Consider the following 19701-nt stretch of genomic DNA (forward strand, 5'->3'; position numbering starts at 1 on the left):
TTTCTTTCCTTTTTTTTTTCTTTTTCTTTCTTTCTTTTTTTTTTTTTTTTTTTTTTTTGAGACAGAGCCTGGCTCTGTTGCCCAGGCTGGAGTGCTGTGGTGAAATCTAGGCTCACTGCAACCTCCACCTCCCAAGTTCAAGTGATTCTCCTGCCTCAGCCTCCCAAGTAGCTGGGATTACAGGCGCCCACCACCACGCCCAGCTAATTTTTGTATTTTTAGTAGAGATGGGGTTTCACCATGTTGGCCATGCTGGTATTGAACTCCTGACCTCAAGTGATCTGCCCACCTCAGCCTCCCAAAGTGCTGGGATTACAGGAGTAAGCCACCGCGCCCAGCCTCTCCTGCCTCATTTCTTTTTTTTTTTTTTGAGACAGGATCTGGCTCTGTTGCCCAGGTTGGAGTGCAGTGGCAGGTCTCAGCTCACTGTAGCCTCAACCTCTTAGGCTCAAGCGATCCTCCCAGCACAGCCTCCCAAGTAGCTGAGATTATGGATGCACACTACTACACCCAGCTGCTGATTTTGTTTTTGTGTTTGTTTTTGTGGAGACGGGGATTTGCTAGGTTGCCCAGGCTGGTCTCAAACCCCTGGGCTCAAGTGATCCTCCCGCCTTGACCTCCCAAAGTGCTGGGATTACAGGTGTGAGCCACCGCGCCTGGCCTAAATGGTAGCTATTTTCATGGTTAGATCCCTCACGTCCTTAGAAGAATGCAAGTTTAGGCCAGGCGCAGTGGTGGTGGCTGAGATTGCGTCATTGCACTCCAGCCTGGGCAACAAGAGCGAAACTCCATCAAGAAAGAAAGAAAGAGAGAAAGGGAGGGAGGAAGGAAGGAAGGGAGGGAGGGCGGGAAGAAAGGAAAGAAAGAGGTGGGAGGGAGGGAGCGAGGGAGCCAGGTGTGGTGGTTCACACCTGTAATCCCAGCACTTTGAGAGGCCAAGGCAGTAGGATCGCTTCAGCCTGATGGTTTGCGACCAGCCTGGGCAGTATGGTGAAATACCATCTCTACAAAAAAATACAAAAATTAGCCAGATGTGGTGGCACACACCTGTAGTCCCAGCTGTTTGGGAAGCTGAGGTGGGAGGATTGCTTGAGCCCAGGAGGTGGAGGTTGCAATGAGCCAAGATCATGCCACTGCACTCCAGCCTGGGTGACAGAGTGAGACCCCCACCTCAAAAAAAAAAAAAAAAAGAAAAAGAAAAAGAAATTGAAGGATATACACATATATATATGTGTATATAGATGTACACAAACACATATACATACATAAATGTTATATACTATACATATATGCAAATATACACAAACACACATGTGTTTTTATTTGTTCTTTAAATGAAAGGATATACCATAAATTTATTTTAAAGTGGTTTGGCCAGGTGAGGTGGCTTATGCCTGTAATCCCAGCACTTTGGGAGGATGAGGCGGGTAGATCACTTGGGGTCAGGAGATGGAGATCAGCCTGGCCAACATGGCAAAACCCTGTCTCTACTAAAAATACAAAAATTAACCAGGCGTAGTGGTACGCGCCTGTAATCCCAGCTACTTGGGAGGCTGAGGCACAAGAATTGCTTGAACCCGGGAGGTGGAGGTTGCTGTGGGCGGAGATCTTGCCACTGCACTCTAGCCTAGGTGACAGAGCAAGACTCTGTCTCAAAAAAAAAAAAAAAGTTATACTTCCCAGCATATATCTTGGTTTTTAGAATTGGACTTTGGAACCATGTAAATATTTTCCACAGTGGTAAAACAAAATTAAATTTCTAAAAAATACATAAAACCTGAAAGCAAAATGAAACAAGTGAAATCTGTATATCCAGTTAGTGATATAACCACACAAAAAGAAGAACTATTTGAAGAAACATTAAAACTGTAATTTTTTTTTTTCAGACTGAGTTTTGCTCTTGTTGCCCGGCTGGAGTGCAATGGCCTGATCTCAGTTCACTGCAACCTCTGCCTCCCGGGTTCAAGAGATTCTCCTGTCTCAGCCTCCCAAGTAGCTGGGATTACAGGCTCATGCCACCATGCCCAGCTAATTTTTGTATTTTTAGTAGAGACGGGGTTTCATCATATTGGCCAGGCTGGTCTCAAACTTCTGACTTCAGGTGATCCGCCTGCCTTGGCCTCCCAAAGTGTTGGGATTACAGGCGTGAGCCACTGCACCCAGCTAATTTTTTTTTTTTTCTTTCTTGAGATGGAGTCTTGCTCTGTCACCCAGGCTAGAGTGCAGTGGCGTGATGTCTTCTTACTGCAACCTCCGCCTCCCGGGTTCAAGCAATTCTCCTGCCTCAGCCTCCCGAGTAACTGGGATTACAGACATGTATGTGCCATCATGCCCAGTTAATTTTTGTATTTTTAGTAGAGATGGAGTTTCGTCATGTTGGCCAGGCTGATCTCGAACTCCTGACCTCAGGTAATCCACCCGCCTTGGCCTCCCAAAGTGCTGGGATTAACAGGCGTGAGCCACTGTGCCCAGCCCAATTTATTTAGTTTTTATTTATTTATTTTTTCTTGAGACAGGGTCTCGTTGTGTCACCAAGGCTGGAGTACAGTGGCACTATCATAGCCCACTATCACTACAGCCTTGACCTCCCAGGTTCAAGCAATCCTCCCACCTCAGCCTCCTGAATAGCTGGGACCACACCACAGGTGCATGCTACCACACCTAGGTAACTGTTTTTTTTTTATTATTTTAATTTTTATTTATTTATTTTTGAGAAAGGGTCTTGTTCTGTTGTCCAGGCTGGAGTGCAGTAGCATCATCTCGGCTCACTACAACCTCTGCAAGCAATTCTCCTGCCTCAGCCTTCAGAGTAGCTGGGATTACAGGCGCATGTCACGCCACCTGGCTAATTTTTGTATTTTTAGTACAGACAGGGTTTCACCATGTTGGCCAGGCTGCTGTTGAACTCCTGATCTCAGGTGATCCACCCGCCTTGACCTCCCAAAGTGCTGGGATTACAGACATGAGCCATTGTGCCTGGCCTCAGGTAATTTTTTATTTTATTTTTTGTAGAGGGGGGGGGTCTCACCATGTTGCCCAGGCTGGTCTCAATCTCCTGGCCTCAAGCAATTCTCCTGCCTTGATGTTAGGATTACAGGCGTTAGCTGCCGTACCCCAACTCTCCTCTTGTGAAAATCAGCCTTGGATTTAGGGCTCTCCCTACTCCAGAGTGACCTCATCGTAGCCAGTTACCTCAGCAAAGACTCTCATTTCCAAATAAGGCCACATTCTTAGGTTCTGGGTGGATATGAATTTTTCGAGGACCCTATTCAACCCAATGCAGTACTCAATTACACAAAGCAAAAACAATCTCGTGGGAAACCTTTGGAAAATGCTTGGAGAGACACCCATTTTTGTAAACTAGTAAATGAAAGGATGAAGCAATTATATCCTGCTTTACCTGTATGAACTGTGGGCTGTACTTCAAGGTAAGCGGGTAGTTAACAAGAATACATTTTTCTGGCCAGGCGTGGTGGCTCATGCCTGTAATCCCAGCACTTTGGGAGGCCAAGGCGGGCGGATTGCGAGGTCAGGAAATCGAGACCATCCTGGTTAACACGGTGAAACCCCGTCTGTACTAAAAATACAAAAAAAAAGATTAGCTGGGTGTGGTGGCGGGTGCCTGTAGTCCCAGCTACTCGGGAGGCTGAGGCAGGAGAACGGCATGAACCCGGGAGGCGGAGCTTGCAGTGAGGCGAGATCACGCCACTGCACTCCAGCCTGGGCGACAGAGCGAGACTCTGTCTCAAAAAAAAAAAAAAAAAAAAAAAAAAAAAAAAAAAAAAAAAGGGAAGAGAAAGAGTGGAAGGGAACCCATGAATTTAAAAAGACTTGAGATGTAATTTTAAAAAGAGAGGAAGGCTTGAGAAATGTATCTGCCAAGTCCATCGTATGGACTTTATTTTTAAAAAGTTAACTGTAGGCTGGGTGTGGTGGCTCACACCTATAATCCCAGCACTTTGGGAGGCTGAAGTGAGAGGATCAACTGAGCCCAGGAGTTTGAGATCAGCCTAGACTACGTGGCAAAACCCCGTCTCTACCAAAAAGAAAAAAAACAATTAGGCTGGCCGCGATGGCTCATGCCTGTAATCCCAGCAGTTTGGGAGGCCGAGGTGGGGAGATCACCTGAGGTCAGGAGTTTGAGATGAGCCTGACCAACATGGTGAAACCCCATCTCTACTAAAAATACAAAAGTTAGCTGGGCGTGGTGGCGAGCGCCTGTAATCCCAGCTACTCAGGAGGCTGAGGCAGGAGAATCACTTGAACCTGGGAGGTGGAGGTTGCAGTGAGCTGAGATTGTGCCATTGCACTCCAGCCTGGGTGACAGAACAAAATCTTGTCTCAAAACAAAACAAAGGAAAGTCAACTGTGAATAAAAGCAGGGAGGAGAATTGGCAAAAATTGGAATTTGATGATTTTACGGAATTTTATTTATTTATTTATTTATTTATTTATTTATTTATTTTTGAGACGAAGTCTCTCGCTGTGTTACCAGGCTGGAGGGCAGTGGCACGATCTTGGCTCACTGCAACCTCCGCATCCTGGATTCAAGCAGTTCTCCTGCCTCAGCGTCCCAAGTAGCTGGGATTACAGGCACACACCACCACGCCCAGCTAATTTTTGTATTTTTAATAGAGACGGGGTTTCACCATTTGGCCAGGATGGTCTCGATCTCTTGACCTCGTGATCTGCCCACCTTGGCCTCCCAGAATGCTGGGATTACAGGCGTGAGCCACCGCCCCTGGCCTGGAATAATTTTTTTTTTTTTTTTGGTGCAATAATGGAATTACAGTTAAGTTTGTAAAAATAGTTTCTCTTTTAGAAATACATACTGAAGCCAGGCACCTGCCTGTAATCCTAGTACTTTGGGAGGCCGAGGCTGGCAAATCATGAGGTCAGGAGATTGAGACCATCGTGGCCAACAGAATGAAACTCCGTCTCTACTAAAAATACAAAAATTAGCTGGACGCGATGGCACATGCCTGTAGTCCCAACTACTCGGGAGGCTGAGGCAGGAGAATCGCTTGAACCCGGGAGGCGGAGGTTGCAGCGAGCCAAGATAGCGCCACTGCACTCCAGCCTGGCGAAAGAGCGAGACTCCGTCCCAAAAAAGAAATACATATTGAAATGTTTATAGCTGTTCTGTATGATATATGGAACTTACTTCCAAGTAATGACAATGTAGGAGAGTGGGTACAGATGACCCAAGATTACCCATAAATTGATAATTGTTAAATCAGATGACATATACATGGAGATTCACTACTATTCTGTCCATTTTTGCATACATTTGAAATTGTCCATAATTTATTTATTTATTTTTATTTTTTATTTATTTTTTTTTGAGACGGAGTCTCACTCTATCACCCAAGCTGGAGTGAAGTGGCACGATCTCGGCTCACTGCAAACTCCGCCTCCTGGATTCACACCATTCTCCTGCCTCAGTCTCCCCAGTAGCTGGGACTACAGGCGCCTGCCACCACGCCCGGCTAATTTTTTGTATTTTTAGTAGAGACGGGGTTTCGCCGTGTTAGCCAGGATGGTGTCAATCTCCTGACCTCGTGATCTGCCTGCCTCGGCCTCCCAAAGTGCTGGGATTACAAGCGTGAGCCACCATGCCTGGCCTGGGTCATACTATTATTTAAAAATGTTTCTAAACTGGGTGCAGTCACTTACACCTGTAGTCCCAGTACTTTGGGAGGCTGAGGCGGGAGGGGCGCTTGAGACCAGGAGTTTGAGACCAGCCTGGGCAACATGACAAGACCCCATCTGTAATAAAGATTATGAAAATTAAAAATAAATGTAAGAAGATTTTCTGTCCGTTTTCTCATTATCATATACAGGGTGAGCAGGTGCTGATTAAACTTCTATTGGAGCCGGGAGCAATGGCTCAAGACTATAATCCCAGCACTTTGGGAGGCCGAGGTGGGTGGATTACCCGCAGTCAGGAGCTCAAGACAAGCCTAGCCAACATGGTAAAACCCTGTCTCTACTAAAAATACAAAAAATTAGCTGGGCATGGTGGCACATGCCTGTAGTCCCAGCTACTCAGGAGGCTGAGGCAGGAGAATTGCTTGAACCCGGGAGGCAGAGGTTGCAGTGAGCAGAGATCGAGCCACTGCACTCCAGCCTGGGTGACAGAGCAAGACTCTGTCAAAAAAAAAAAAAAAGAAAAAGAAAAAGAAAAAAGACTTCTGTTTCGTCCACAGATTGCAAAATATTGAGGTGAGACTGAAGAAAGGATGTTTCCCAGAGTTCCTGGACTTGGAGCTATTACAGTACCTGTGTGTGACTCTAGTTGTCTCTTTTGAGGAGGAAGTGTGTTATTGGTTTTGTGTGACATTAGAATGATTGAATTATGGTGGGGTAGGAGCATTTAAAAATATTAAATGTATGGGAAGATATATGCGTGTGAGTCGTGAGATCCACCAGATGTACATGGTAGATACGGCAGGACCTGACCATTGTCCTCTAAGACCCACTCTTCTCTTCTTTAGTGATAGTAGAATTTTTAGCAGAGCCTCTATTTCCCAGCCTGCACTGCAGCTTGGAATGGTCATGTGACTATGTCTGGCCAATGGGATGTGAGAAGAAGCACAATGGCTTCCTAGAATCATCCAGAAGAAAACACTTAGCACCCTCTCTTTGTCCCCACTTTTTTTTTTTTTTTTTTTTTTTTATGAGATGGAGTCTCACTCTGTTGTCAGCCTGGAGTGCAGTGGCAGGATCTCGGCTAACTGCAATCTCCGCCTCCTAGGTTCAAGCAATTCCCCTGCCTCAGCCTCTCAAGTAGCTGGGACTACAGGCATGCACCACTATGCCTGGCTAATTTCTTGTATTTTTAGTAGAGACGGGGTTTTACCATGTTGGCCAAGATGGTCTCTATCTCCTGACCTCATGATCCTCCCACCTTGGCCTCCCAAAGTGCTGGGATTAAAGGTGTGAGCCACCGCACCTAGCCTCTTTGTCCTCTTCTAGCTCTGTTTCTCCATCCTGTTCTTGGGACTTAGATGTGCTGACTAGAGCTCCATCTTGGCCCATGAAGAAGGGGTTGGGGCACCAGGCTTCATGGAGAAGAGCTATGTACCAGCCTGGATGACTTACCTCTGGATTTTTACCTGCAAGAGAAAAAAAGCTTTAATTTTGTTTAAATTATTGCCACTGTAGGTCTCTGTCATGTGCACTAAACCTAGTCATCATAAATACAGTGGATATCTCTTGTTTCTGTCTGTCCAGCCACAGCTTCCCATTCTCTTTGGGGGACTTCCTCTACCCTATTCCATATGGTTTGGGTGGGGTGGACTGTGAGTCACTAGGTCCTTCTCTTTTCCGCAACAGGTGGGCAGGTGAACAAATCCAACCAACCAAGACTCCTCGAGTCATCAGGAATGAAAACCTGGGTGGACTGGCACAGGGACCCCTAGGCAGATTATTATTATTATTATTATTATTATTATTATTATTATTTTATTTTGAGACAGAGTTTCACTCTTGTTGCCCAGGCTGGAGTACAACGGCATGATCTCAGCTCACTGCAACCTCCACCTCCTGGGTTCAAGCGATTCTTCTGCCTCAGCCTCCTGAGTAGTTGGGATTACAGGAGCCTGCCACCACACGCAGCTAATTTTTTTGTATTTTTAGTAGAGACAGGGTTTCACCATCTTGGTCAGGCTGGTCTTGAACTCCTGACCTCAGGTGATCCACCTGCCTCAGCCTCCTAAAGTGCTGGGATTACAGGCGTGAGCCACTGTGCCTGGCCAGATTATAAACAGATTCTTATTAATCAAAGCTGTATTTATCCTGAAATATTCATTATGTATTATATTAACAAGTGCAGGAATGCAGAAGAAATACAGCTTTCAGTTTTGCCTAGACCTAAAGGTGTTCCTGACGAAGGTGATGTCAGTGCCCCCAAAATAAGATTCTTGAGGGTCTCTGAGTGGCCCTGAATTCTATCTTTTCTGAGTTCTGGTTACTCAACTTTTCCTTTGTTTTTTATTCTGTGAGCTACCTAGTATTCTTGGCTTTTGTTTTTTTTTTTTTTTTTTGAGATGGAGTTTTGCTCCGTTGCCCAGGCTGAGGTGCAGTGGCGTGATCTTGGCTTATTGCAACTTCGGCCTCCTGAGTTCAAGCAATTCTCCTGCTCAGCCTCCTGAGTAGCTAGGATTATAGGCATGCACCACCACGCACAGCTAATTTTTTATTTTTAGTAGAGATGTGTTTTCACCATGTTGGCCAGGCTGGCCTTGAACTCCTGACCTCAAGTGATCCGCCCACCTAGGCCTCCAAAAGTGCTGGGATTACAGGTGTGAGCCACCGTGCCCGGCCTAAGAGCACAAACTTGATGAACTCTGCATTGCTTGCTCTGTGATGGGCCAGGCCCAGGCCCTGCTGGCCCAGCTGGACCTATGGAGTTATCATCATCTTACATAAGAGGATCCAGGAAATAGTGGGAGGAGCTAAGAAGACAGGAATCGCATGTTATTTAAAGTTTCATTGGTAACCAAGAGGAGAACTAAAATAGAGAGATATACCACAATGAGGGGAATGCTGGTATCAGTGAGCTAAATTCTGATGTATCACAGCCAAAAGACAAGAGATAATGTGTACAATTGATCAAACAATCAGCCTATAAGACAGGGTGAGGAAAAAGAAGAACAAAAGAAACAATTGATCAAGCAATAAGAATATAAGCTAGTTTTTTTTTTTGCTTTTTTTTTTTTTTTTTTTCTGAGACAGGGTCTCACTCTGTCCCCCAGGCTGGAGTGCAGTGGTGCAATCATACCTCACTGCAGCCTCAACGTCCTGGGCTCAAGTGATCCTCCCTCCTCAGCCTCCCAAGTAGCTGGGACCACAGGCACACGCCACTATGGATGGCTAATTTTTTAATTTAGGGTAGAGATGAGGTCTTGCTATGTTGCCCAGGCTGGTCTTGAACTTCTGACCTCAAGTGATCCTCCAGAGTTGGCCTCCAAAAGTGCTGGGATTACAGGCGTGAGCCACTGTGTTGGGCTGTTTGAAAATTTTTTATTTATTACCAAATCATTGGCAAATCTCTGTGGCTCACGCCTGTAGTGCTAGCACGTTGGGAGGCCAACACTGGAGGATCACTGAGGCCAGGAATTTGAGTCCAGCATGGGCAATATAGTGAGACCCTGTCTCTACAAAAAATAAAAATATTGGCCGGGCACAGTGGCTCACGCCTGTAATCCCAGCACTTTGGGAGGCCGAGACGGGCGGATCACTTGAGGTCAGGAGTTCAAGACCGGCCTGGCTAACATGATGAAACCCCATTTCTACTGAAAATGCAAAAAATTATCCGGGCATGGTGGTGTGTGCCTGTAATCCCAGCTACTCGGGAGGCTGAGGCAGGAGAATCGCTTGAACCCAGGAGGCAGAGGTTGCGGTGAACCGAGATAGCGCCATTCCACTCCAGCTTGGACAACAAGAGCGAAACTCCGTCTAAAAAAATAAACAGGCTGGGCGTGGTGGCTCACACCTGTAATCCCAGCAATTTGGGAGGCCGAGGCAGGTGGGTCAGGAGGTCAGGAGATCGAGGCCATCCTGGCTAACACGGTGAAACCTCATCTCTACTAAAAATGCAAAAAATTAGCTGGGCGTGGTGACAGGCGCCTGTAGTCCTAGCTACTCCGGAGGCCAAGGCAGGAGAGTGGCGTGAACCCAGGAGGCAGAGCTTGCATGAGCTGAGATCGTGCCACTGCACTCCAGCCTGTGTGACAGAGAGAGACTCCATCTCAAAAAAATGAATGAATTAATTAAAATAAATAAATAAAATAAAAATAAAAATATTAGCCAGATGTAGTGGTGCATGCCTGTCGTTCTAGCTACTCAGGAGGCTGAGGCGGGAGAATCGGCTGAGCCCAGGAATTCAAGGCTGCAGTGAGCTATGATTGCACCACTGCATGCCAGCGTGGGTTACGGAGGAAGACCCTGTCTCAAAAAAAAAACAAAAAACAAAAAACAAAAAACCCGAAGTTTTTTTTAAGGTCTTTAGTATGAGTTCTTCTGTGCTAGCTGAGGTTTTAAAAATGTACACTACGTTAAACAAGTATTTAAAGTAAATAAAGTCATTTAAACTAAATGACTTTAATTAAAAAAAAAAAACAAATAACTCGCTGGGTGACGGGCTCACGCCTGTAATCCCAGCACTTTGGGAGGCAGAGACTGGCAGATCAGTTGAGGTCAGGAGTTTAAGACCAGCCTGGGCAACATGGTGAAACCCTGTCTCTACTAAAAATACAAAAATTAGCCAGACATGGTGATGGGTGCCTGTAACCCCAGCTACTCAGGAGGCTGAGACACAAGAATCGCTTGAACTTGGGAGGCAGAGGCTGCAGTGAGCCAAGATCGGGTCATTGCACTCTAGCCTGGGTGACAAGAGTGAAACTCTGTCTCAAAAAAAAAAAAAAAAAGCCGGGCGTAATGGCTCACACCTGTAATCACAGCACTTTGGGAGGCTGAGGTGGGCGGATCACTTAAGGTCAGAATGCCTGTAATCTCGGCTATCTGGAAGGCTGAGGCAGGAGAATCACTTGAACCCAGGAGGCAGAAGTTGCAGTGAGCCAAGACTGCGCCATTGCACTCCAGCCTGGGCAACAAGAGCGAAACTCCATCTCAAAAACAAAACAAAACAAAAAATAAAGTTGTTTTTTTTTTTTGAGGTCTAAAGTATGAGCTCTTCTGTACTAGCTGATGTTTTAACAATGTGCACATTGTTAAACAATCATTTAAAGTAAATTATTTATTTAAAGTCATTTAAATTAAATGACTTTAATTTTTAAAAAAATCAGGCCGGGCACAGTGGCTCACACCTGTAATCCCAGCACTTTGGGAGGCCAAGGCAGGCAGATCATGAGGTCAAGAGATCAAGACCATCCTGGCCAACATGGTGAAACACTATCTCTACTAAAAATACAAAAATTAGCCAGGTGTAATGCCTGTGATCCCAGCTACTTGGGAGGCTGAGGCAGGAGAATCGCTTGAACCCCAGGGGCAGAGGTTGTAGTGAGCCAAGATTGCACCACTGCACTGCAGCCTGGCGACAGAGTGAGACTCCGTCTCAAAAAAAAAAAAAAAAAGTACTATCTTGTTCCTCCACATCTTTACAGCACTTAGTGGACTTGCGGACTTGTAGAATGGAGAACACAAAGTTCATTCTCCTCATTGTACAGATGAGCAATGAGGAAAAAAGGCTTAATGACTTAACGATGTCACAGAGCCCATTGGTGATTAACCTGGGGCCAGGTTGGCAGCAGTAGTCGGCAGTTCCTGGGCTTCTATCCCAGTGTGCCTTCCACTATACCATGCTTCCAGTGCAAAATGTCAGCAAGGTTTACATAATTAAGAGAAAACAGTCATTTTCTTTGGGCCATCAGACACTTGTATTTGAAGGGATCCAGAACCTTCCTTGGAGTTTTTATTCTTTTCATTAAGATGGCAAATTAGGGTGGGCACAGTGGCTCACACCTGTAATCCCAGTACTTTTTGGAAGGCTAAGGCCGGAGGATCGCTTGAGTCCAGGAGTTCAAGACCAGCCTGGGCAACATAGCAAGATCCTGTCTCTACAAAAAAGTTAGCTGGGTGTGGTGGCACATGCCTGTGTTCCCGGCTACACAGGAGGCTGAGGCAGGAGGATCTGTTGAGCCCAGGAGGTTGAGGCTACAGTGAGCTATGATGGTTCCACTGCACTCCAGCCTGGGTGACAGAGTGAGACTCTAAAAACAAAAAAAAGAAGGTAAAAAGAAGGATGATAAATTATATTAACACACTATGAGAATTAGCCAGGGGTGGTGGTGTGCACTTGTAGTCCCAGCTATTAGGGACTCCATCGCTTGAGCCCAGGAGGTTGACTGCAGTGATCCAAGATCTTGCCACTGCATTGCAGCCTGAGTGATAGAGACCTTGTCTCTAAATAAATAAATAAAAGAAGAGAAGGAACTATCAACAAATATTGAATGTTAATTGGCCGGGCATGGTGGCTCACACCTGTAATCCCAGCACTTTATTTAGAGACAAGGTCTCACTCTATCACCCAGGCTGGAATGCAGTGGCAAGATCTTGGATCACTGCAGTCAAACTCCCGGGCTCAAGCGATGGAGTCCCAAATAGCTGGGACTACAAGTGCACACCACCACCCCTGGCTAATTCTCATAGTGTGTTAATATAATTTATCATCTGTCTTTTTTTTTTTTTTTTTTTGGAGTCTCTCTCTGTCACCCAGGCTGGAGTGCAGTGTTGCGATCTCGGCTCACTGCAAGCTCCGCCTCCTGGGTTCACGCCATTCTCCTGCCTCAGCCTCCCGAGTAGCTGGGACTACAGGCGCCCGCCACCACGCCTGGCTAATTTTTTGTATTTTTAGTAGAGATGGGGGTTTCACCATGTTAGCCAGGATGGTCTCGATCTCCTGACCTCGTGACCCAACCGCCTCGGCCTCCTGAAGTGCTGGGATTACAGGAGTGAGCCACCCTGCCCGGCCCTCTCAGCACTTTTGGAGGCGCAGGTGGGTGGATCACAAGGTCAGGAGTTCGAGACCAGCCTGGCTAACATGGTGAAACCCCGTCTCTATTAAAAATACAAAATAAAATTAGCCAGGCATGGTGGTGCGTGCCTGTAGTCCCAGTTACACAGGAGGCTAAGACAGGAGGATCTCTTGAACCCAGGAGGTGGAGGTTGCAGTGAGCTGAGATCGCGCCACTGCACTCCAGCCTGGGCGACAGAGCGAGACTCCATCTCAGAAAAATAAATAGATAAATAAAAATAAAATTAAAAACCTGTCTGCTGCTGAAAAGGCTGTGACCAAAGAGGAATTTCAGGGTGAATGGACAGCTCCAGCTCCTGTATTCACCGCTACTCAACCTGAGGTTGCAGACTGGTCTTACGGCATGCAGGTGCCCTCTGTGCCTATCCAGCAGTTCCCTGCTGAAGACTGGAGCAGTCATCCTGCCACGGAAGACTGGTCTGCAGCTCCCACTGCTCAGGCTGCTGAATGGGTAACAGCAACAACTGAATGGCCTTAAGGTGTTCTTGCACGGGCTCTTAAGCAACGTGGAAATAGGTTGATGGAAAATAAACATCAGTTTCTAAAAAAAAAAAAGTGCATTCTGAAGTGTTGAAGGGTAACATGCACTGATTTCTGTAACTTCTTTTGAATTGAATTTAAAAACAATGTGAATTGTTGAATGGATAAACAGATACATGGTAAACCAAGTGTAATAAAATGTTTATTGCAGAATTTGGGTTGACATACGGCTGTTCGCTGTATATTTCTTTCAACTTTTCGGTGCATTTGAAAATTTGTAGGCCGGGTACAGTGGCTCATGCCTATAAACCCAGCACTTTGAAAGGGCGAGGTGGGTGGATCACTTGAGATCAAAAGTTCGAGACCAGCCTGGCCGACATGGTGAAGCCCCGTTGCTACTAAAAATACAAAAATTAGCCAGGCATGGTGGCCTGTGCCTGTAATCCCAGCTACTAGAGAGACTGAGGCTTGAACCTGGGAGGCGGAGGTTGCAGTGAGCCGAGATCGCACCACTGCACTACAGCCTTGGGTGACAGAGTGAAATTCCATCTCAAAAAAAAAAAAAAGAAAAGAAGAAAAAGGCCGGGCACAGTGCCTCACACCTGTAATCCCAGCACTTTGGGAGGCCCAGGCGGGTGGATCACGAGGTCAGGAGATGGAGACCATCCTAGCTAACACGGTTAAACCCCGTCTCTACTAAAAATACAAAAAATTAGCTGGGCATGGTGGCGGGCGCCTGTAGTCCCAGCCACTCAGGAGGCTGAGGCAGGAGAATGGCATGAATCCAGGAGACGGAGCTTGCAGTGAGCCAAGATCGTGCCACTGCACTCCAGCCTGGGCGACAGAGTGAGACTCCATCTCAAAAAAAAAAAAAAAAATTAGCCGGGCTTGGTGGCGGGCGCCTGTAGTCCCAGCTACTCAGGAGGCTGAGGCAGGAGAATGGCATGAACCTGGGAGGCAGAGCTTGCAGTGAGCCGAGATTGCACCACTTACACTCCAGCCTGGGACAGAGCAAACCTCTGTCTCAAAAAAAAAAAAAAAAAAAAAAGGATAGTTAGCCAGGTGTAGTGGTGCACACCTGTAATCCCAGTTACTCAGGAGGCTGAGGCAGGAGAATTGCTCGACCCCAGGAGACAGAGATTGCAGTGTGTGGTGATTGCTCCACTGCACTTCAGCCTGAACGACAGAGGGACTCCATCTCAAAAAAAAAAAAAAAAAACTTGTATAATAAAATGTTAGGGCCGGGCGTGGTGGCTCATGCCTGTAATCCCAGCACTTTGGGAGACCGAGGTGGATGGATCACCTGGGGTCAGGGGTTCAAGACCAACCTGGCCAACATAGAGAAACCCTGTCTCTACTAAAAATACAAAAATTAGCTGAGCCTAGTGGCAGGTGCCTGTAATCCCAGCTACTCGGGAGGCTGAGGCAGGAGAATCGTTTGAGCCCAGGAGACGGAGGTTGCAGTGAGCTCAGATGGTGCCATTGTACTCCAGTCTGGGTGACACAGCAAGATTCTGTGTCAAAACAAAAACAAAATCAAGAGAAAGGAGAGGCAGAGGCACCAAGAATACACTTCTTGGCCGTGCAAGGTGGCTCACGCCTGTAATCCCAGCACTTTGGGAGGCTGAGGTGGGCAGATCATGAGGTCAGGAGATAGAGACCATCCTGGCTAACATGGTGAAACCCCGTCTGTACTAAAAATACAAAAAATTAGCCAGGCGTGGTGGCAGGCACCTGTAGTCCCAGCTACTCGGGAGGCTGAGGCAGGAGAATGGAGTGAACCCGGGAGGCGGAGCTTGCAGTGAGCCGAGATCGCGCCACTGCACTCCAGCCTGGGCGACAGAGAGAGACTCCGTCTCAAAAAACAACAAACAAACAAACAAACAAACAAAAGAATATACTTCTCGTTGTTATCACCTCCATGCATTGTCATCACAGGGGAGCTGGTTAACAAAAGTGGTTTGTCTTGTAACTATTCCTGGCTGTTCACACTGGTGGAAATTGACCCAGTTATAGACCCTGTGCGGGTTTATGGCCACAGTCTCCCTGCTCCGATACGGGCTGGTCATACAACAGACCCCATGACCTGGGAGGCCCCTTCTCTCTTCGGCTTTGTGGTATCTCCCATTTCTGCCTGTTGTAGCTTCTTTCTTTTGGTTTATTTCCTCCTACTGAAGCAACATATGTTCCAGCAGCTTTCTGGGATGTGGTGTGTGGGAGGTAAAACTTTTTTGAGAACTTGCCTGAAAATGTTCTTATTTTATCAGCCTAGTTGATCAATAGTTTTTGACTATGAGCAGAATTCTTGTGTGAAAACTTTTTTCCTATAGAATTTTTTTGAAGGCATTGCCACACCCTTGTAACTGCTGGGAAACCCCAAACCATTCTATTTCCTGTTTCCTTAAGCCATGTGTTTTCTCTTTGGAAGCTTGTAGGATCTTATCTGTTGCTATTCTCAAGTTTCCCAGTGATGCACTCTAGGTTGGGACTATTTCACTCACTGGGTTGGACTTTCCATCCGTAAACTGTTGTCATTAAGGTCTGGGAAATTTCCTTTCAATATTTTCATGATTGTTTTCCTCCTTTGCTTGTTCTTTGTTCTTTCTTTTTCTATTATAGGATGCATTTTTTTGTTTTTTTTGAGACTGAGTCTCACCCTATCGCCCAGGCTGGAGTGCAGTGGCTCTATCTCGGCTCACTGCAACCTCTGCCTCCCAGGTTCAAGTGATTCTTGTCGTGCCTCAGCCTCCCGAATAGATGGGATTACAGGTGCACACCACCACGCCCAGCTAATTATTATTATTATTTCAGATGGAGTCTCACTCTTGTCGCCCAGGCTGGAGTGCAATGGTGTGATCTCGGCTTACTGCAAGCTCTGCCTCCTGGGTTCAAGCGATTCTCCTGCCTCAGCCTCCACAGTAGGTGGGGTTACAGGCATGTACCACCACGCTCGGCTAATTTTGTATTTTTAATAGAAACGGGGTTTCACCATGTTGGCCAGGCTGGCCTCGAACTCTTGACCTCAGGTGATCCACCCACCTCGGCCTCCCAAAGTGCTGGGATTACAGGCGTGAGCCATCGCGCCCACCCACCCAGTCCCAGCTTTTCAACTGAGTATTTTTAATTTCTGCTAAGTTGCTTTTAATTTCCACAAATAAAAAAACACAAAAAACTTTCTAATGCTTCCTTTTTAAGTAGAACTCCCTTCTTATTCATGGATGAATAATATTATCTTATTTCTAGCCTTAAAAATAACCATTTACTGGCCGGGCATGCCGGTAATCTCAGCACTTTGGGAGGCCGAAGCGGGCAGATCACGAGGTCTGCAGTTTGAGACTAGCTTGGTCAATATGGTGAAACCCCATCTCTACTGACAAATACAAAAATTAGCCGGGTATGGTGGCGTGTACCTGTAGTCCCAGCTACTCAGGAGGCTGAGGAAGAAGAATCGCTTGAACCTGTGAGGCAGTGGTTGCAGTGAGCCGAGATCATGCCACTGTACTCCAGCATGGGTGACAAAGTGAGACTCTGTCTCAAAAAAAAAAAAATATGTATATATATGGGTCTAAATATATATAATATATATCTTATCGTTACCTAAAATATATATATAAATACATATTTATATATAAATATAATATAGGCCAAGTGCAGTGGCTCATGCCTGTAATCCCAGGACTTTGGGAGGCCGAGGCAGGTGGATCACCTGAGGTCTGGAGTACGAGACTAGCCTGGCCAACTTGGTGAAAACCCATCTCTACTAAAAATACAAAAATTAGCCAGGCATGGTGGCGGGTGCCTGTAATCCCAGCTACTCAGGAGGCTGAGGCAGAAGAATCGCTTGATCGCGGGAGGTGGAAGTTGCAGCGTGCCGAGAACACACCACTGCACTCCATCCTGGGTGACAGAGTGAGACTCCACCTCAAAAAAAAAATATATATATATATATGAATAACATATATTTATATAAATAAAATAGATATTATTTCTATAAATAAAAAAAATATTTTTTTTCCAGAGATGGGTCTTGCTATGTTGCCCAAGCTGGTTTCAAATGCCTGGACTCAAGCAATCCTCCTGCCTCGACCTCCCAAATTGCTGAGATTACAGATGTGAGCCATGGCGCCTGGCCCCATGTTGATATCTGTTTGTTTTTTTCCTCCTGCCCTGGACAGATCCCACCCTCCACCCTCCTCCCCAGTGGGAAACCATCAGCATGGAACCACGAAGGAAGGGATTGGGGAGGCTCAAGCTTCAGCCTACTAAATCTCTGTTTTTATGTTTTGTTTTCCAGGCCCTATGCCTGGTCCTAAGGCCGAATACCCTCTGTTTCATTCTCTCTAGAGGGGAATCATGTCTTTTCTAAGTGAAGGTGAGGGCAGCCTCCTTGCGGAGTGCATAACAGGTGGCCATGCAGGTCTCCTGCTGCTTCTCAGCTTTCATCCCGTCTTCCTTATCCTACTCTCCCCTTACTCCCAGTTCCATAAGGCCAGGGTGCCATCAATCCCAGCTCTTAAGTGATTCTTTGAAGTAAATCTGTTTTTTTTTTTTTTGAGATGGAGTTTCGCTCTTGTCGCCCAGGCTGTAGTGCAATGGCACGATCTTAGCTCACTGCAACCTCCGCCTCCTGGGTTCAAGCGATTCTCCTGCCTCAGCCTCCCAAGTAGCTGGGATTACAGGCGCCTGCCACGACACCCAGCTAATTTTTGTATTTTTAGTAGAGATGGGGTTTCACCATGTTGAACACGCTGGTCTCGAACTCCTGACTTCAGGTGATCCGCCCGCCTTGGCCTCCCAAAGTGCTGGGATAACAGGCATGAGCCACTGGGCCCAGCCTAGGTCTGGTGTTGACCTGCCCTTCCCACTGCCAGTGTAGGTGGCTAAGTCAGTTACAACCATTCTGTCCACACATTCCTTCTTTCTTATTCCCTCTCTTCTAGGTTTCTGCCTTTTTTTTCAAAAGTCCCCTTTCTGGAGTTCTAGTGGAATGTTGGGTAGAAGTGAAATTAGACACTTACATCCAATCTGTCATCTTAACCTGGAAATGAATACTATATGTTCATTGCCCATTATGTGTCTGCCCCACTAGAATGTAGGTTTTAGAATGCAGAATAGCAGGGATCTCTTTCGTTCATTTCACATTCTAACATCTAGGCAGCCAGTGGAGTGGAATGAATGAATGGCCTTGAGTGGAGGACCTAGGCAGGGTGTATGATTGCATCCTTAGCATAACACATTTAGAAACACACATGGTTGCCAGGGGCGATGGCTCACACCTGTAATCCCAGCACTTTGGGAGGCCCGAGGTTGGCAGATCACTTGAGGTTAGCGGCTCGAGACCAGCCTGGCCAACATGGTGAAACCCTGTCTCTACTAAAAATACAAAAATTACCTGGGTGTGGTGGTGCATGACTGTAATCCCAGCTACTTGGGAGTTGCAGTGAGCTGAGATCGAGCCACTCCACTCCAGCTTGGGTGACATAGTGAACCTCCATCTTAAAAAAAAAAAAGAAGAAGAAGAAGAAGAAAAGAAACACACGTGGTCTAATCGAGTATTATTTGAGTTGATGAATTTTTTTTTTGAGATGGAGTTTTGCTCTTGTCGCCCAGGCTGGATGGCACGATGTTGGCTCACTGCAATCTCCACGTCCCAGGTTCTAGCAATTCTCCTGCCTCAGCCTCCTAAGTAGCTGAGATTACAGGCACCCACCACCACACCCATCTAATTTTTGTATTTTTAGAAGAGACGGGGGTTTCACCATGTTGGCCAGGCTGGTCTTGAACTCCTGACCCTAGTGATCCACCCTCCTCAGCCTCCCAAAGTGCTGGGATTACAGGTGTGAGCCACCGTGCCCAGCCGCATTTATTAATTGTAATTTAAGCTGCACACAGTGGCTCATGCCTGTAATCTCAGCAGTTTGGGAAGCTGAGGCCGGCAGATCACTGGAGCCCAGAAGTTGAAGACCAGCCTGGGCAACATAGCAAAAAATATACAAAATTACATACAAAAATTATCCTTGTGTGGTAAGGTGCACCTGTGGTCCCAGCTACTCGGGAGGATCCCCGAGCCCAGGAGATAGAGGTTGCAGTGAGCTGTGATTATGCCACTACACTCCAGCCTGGGTGACAAAGGCAGACCCTGTCTCAAAAAACCCCACAATTTTAAAAAATTTAACTTTGTGGATCATTTGTTGCCATGGGGAACATTCCAAGCAGATACTCAAGCCTAAACTTGGACAACTGTTCTCACTCAGTTTTAAATTAACTGATTTTCATATGTGGGTTGTACATTAATTTAATTAACTTAATTTTTTTTGAGACAGGGTGTCCCTGTCACCCAGGCTGGAATGCAGTAGCTCGATCACAACTCACTACAGCTTCGACCTTCTGGGCTCAGGAGATCCTCCTGCTTTGGCCTCCCAAGTGGCTGGGACAACAGGTGCATGCTACCATGCCTGGCTAATTTTTATAGAGATGGGGGTCTTGCTGTGTTGCCCAATCTGGTCTTTAACTCCCGGCTTCAAGCAATCCTCCCACCTCAGCCTTCCAAAGTGCTGTGATTACAGGAATTAACCACCGTGCCTGGCATATTTATTTTTATTTTTGGAGATGGAGTCTCGCTCTGTCGCCCAGACTGGAGGGTGGAGTGCAGTAGTACAAAA

The 19701-nt window shown here is 46.5% G+C and overlaps 1 pseudogene, besides 2 other annotated features; it reads left to right on the top strand.

The window, feature by feature from the left end:
• Positions 12787-13106, top strand: RPSAP73 (ribosomal protein SA pseudogene 73; annotated as a pseudogene).
• Positions 15424-15925: an enhancer, noted in NCBI's record as "H3K4me1 hESC enhancer chr7:6407719-6408220 (GRCh37/hg19 assembly coordinates)". NCBI's record gives its function as "activates a minimal SCP1, AML or CMV promoter by ChIP-STARR-seq in naive H9 embryonic stem cells {active_cell/tissue: H9 hESC(naive)}" and the evidence as "EXISTENCE:reporter gene assay evidence [ECO:0000049][PMID:30033119]".
• Positions 15926-16425: an enhancer, noted in NCBI's record as "H3K4me1 hESC enhancer chr7:6408221-6408720 (GRCh37/hg19 assembly coordinates)". NCBI's record gives its function as "activates a minimal SCP1, AML or CMV promoter by ChIP-STARR-seq in naive H9 embryonic stem cells {active_cell/tissue: H9 hESC(naive)}" and the evidence as "EXISTENCE:reporter gene assay evidence [ECO:0000049][PMID:30033119]".

The sequence above is a fragment of the Homo sapiens genome, chromosome 7 (genome assembly GCF_000001405.40).
Source record: "Homo sapiens chromosome 7, GRCh38.p14 Primary Assembly".
NCBI classification, from domain to species: domain Eukaryota; kingdom Metazoa; phylum Chordata; class Mammalia; order Primates; family Hominidae; genus Homo; species Homo sapiens.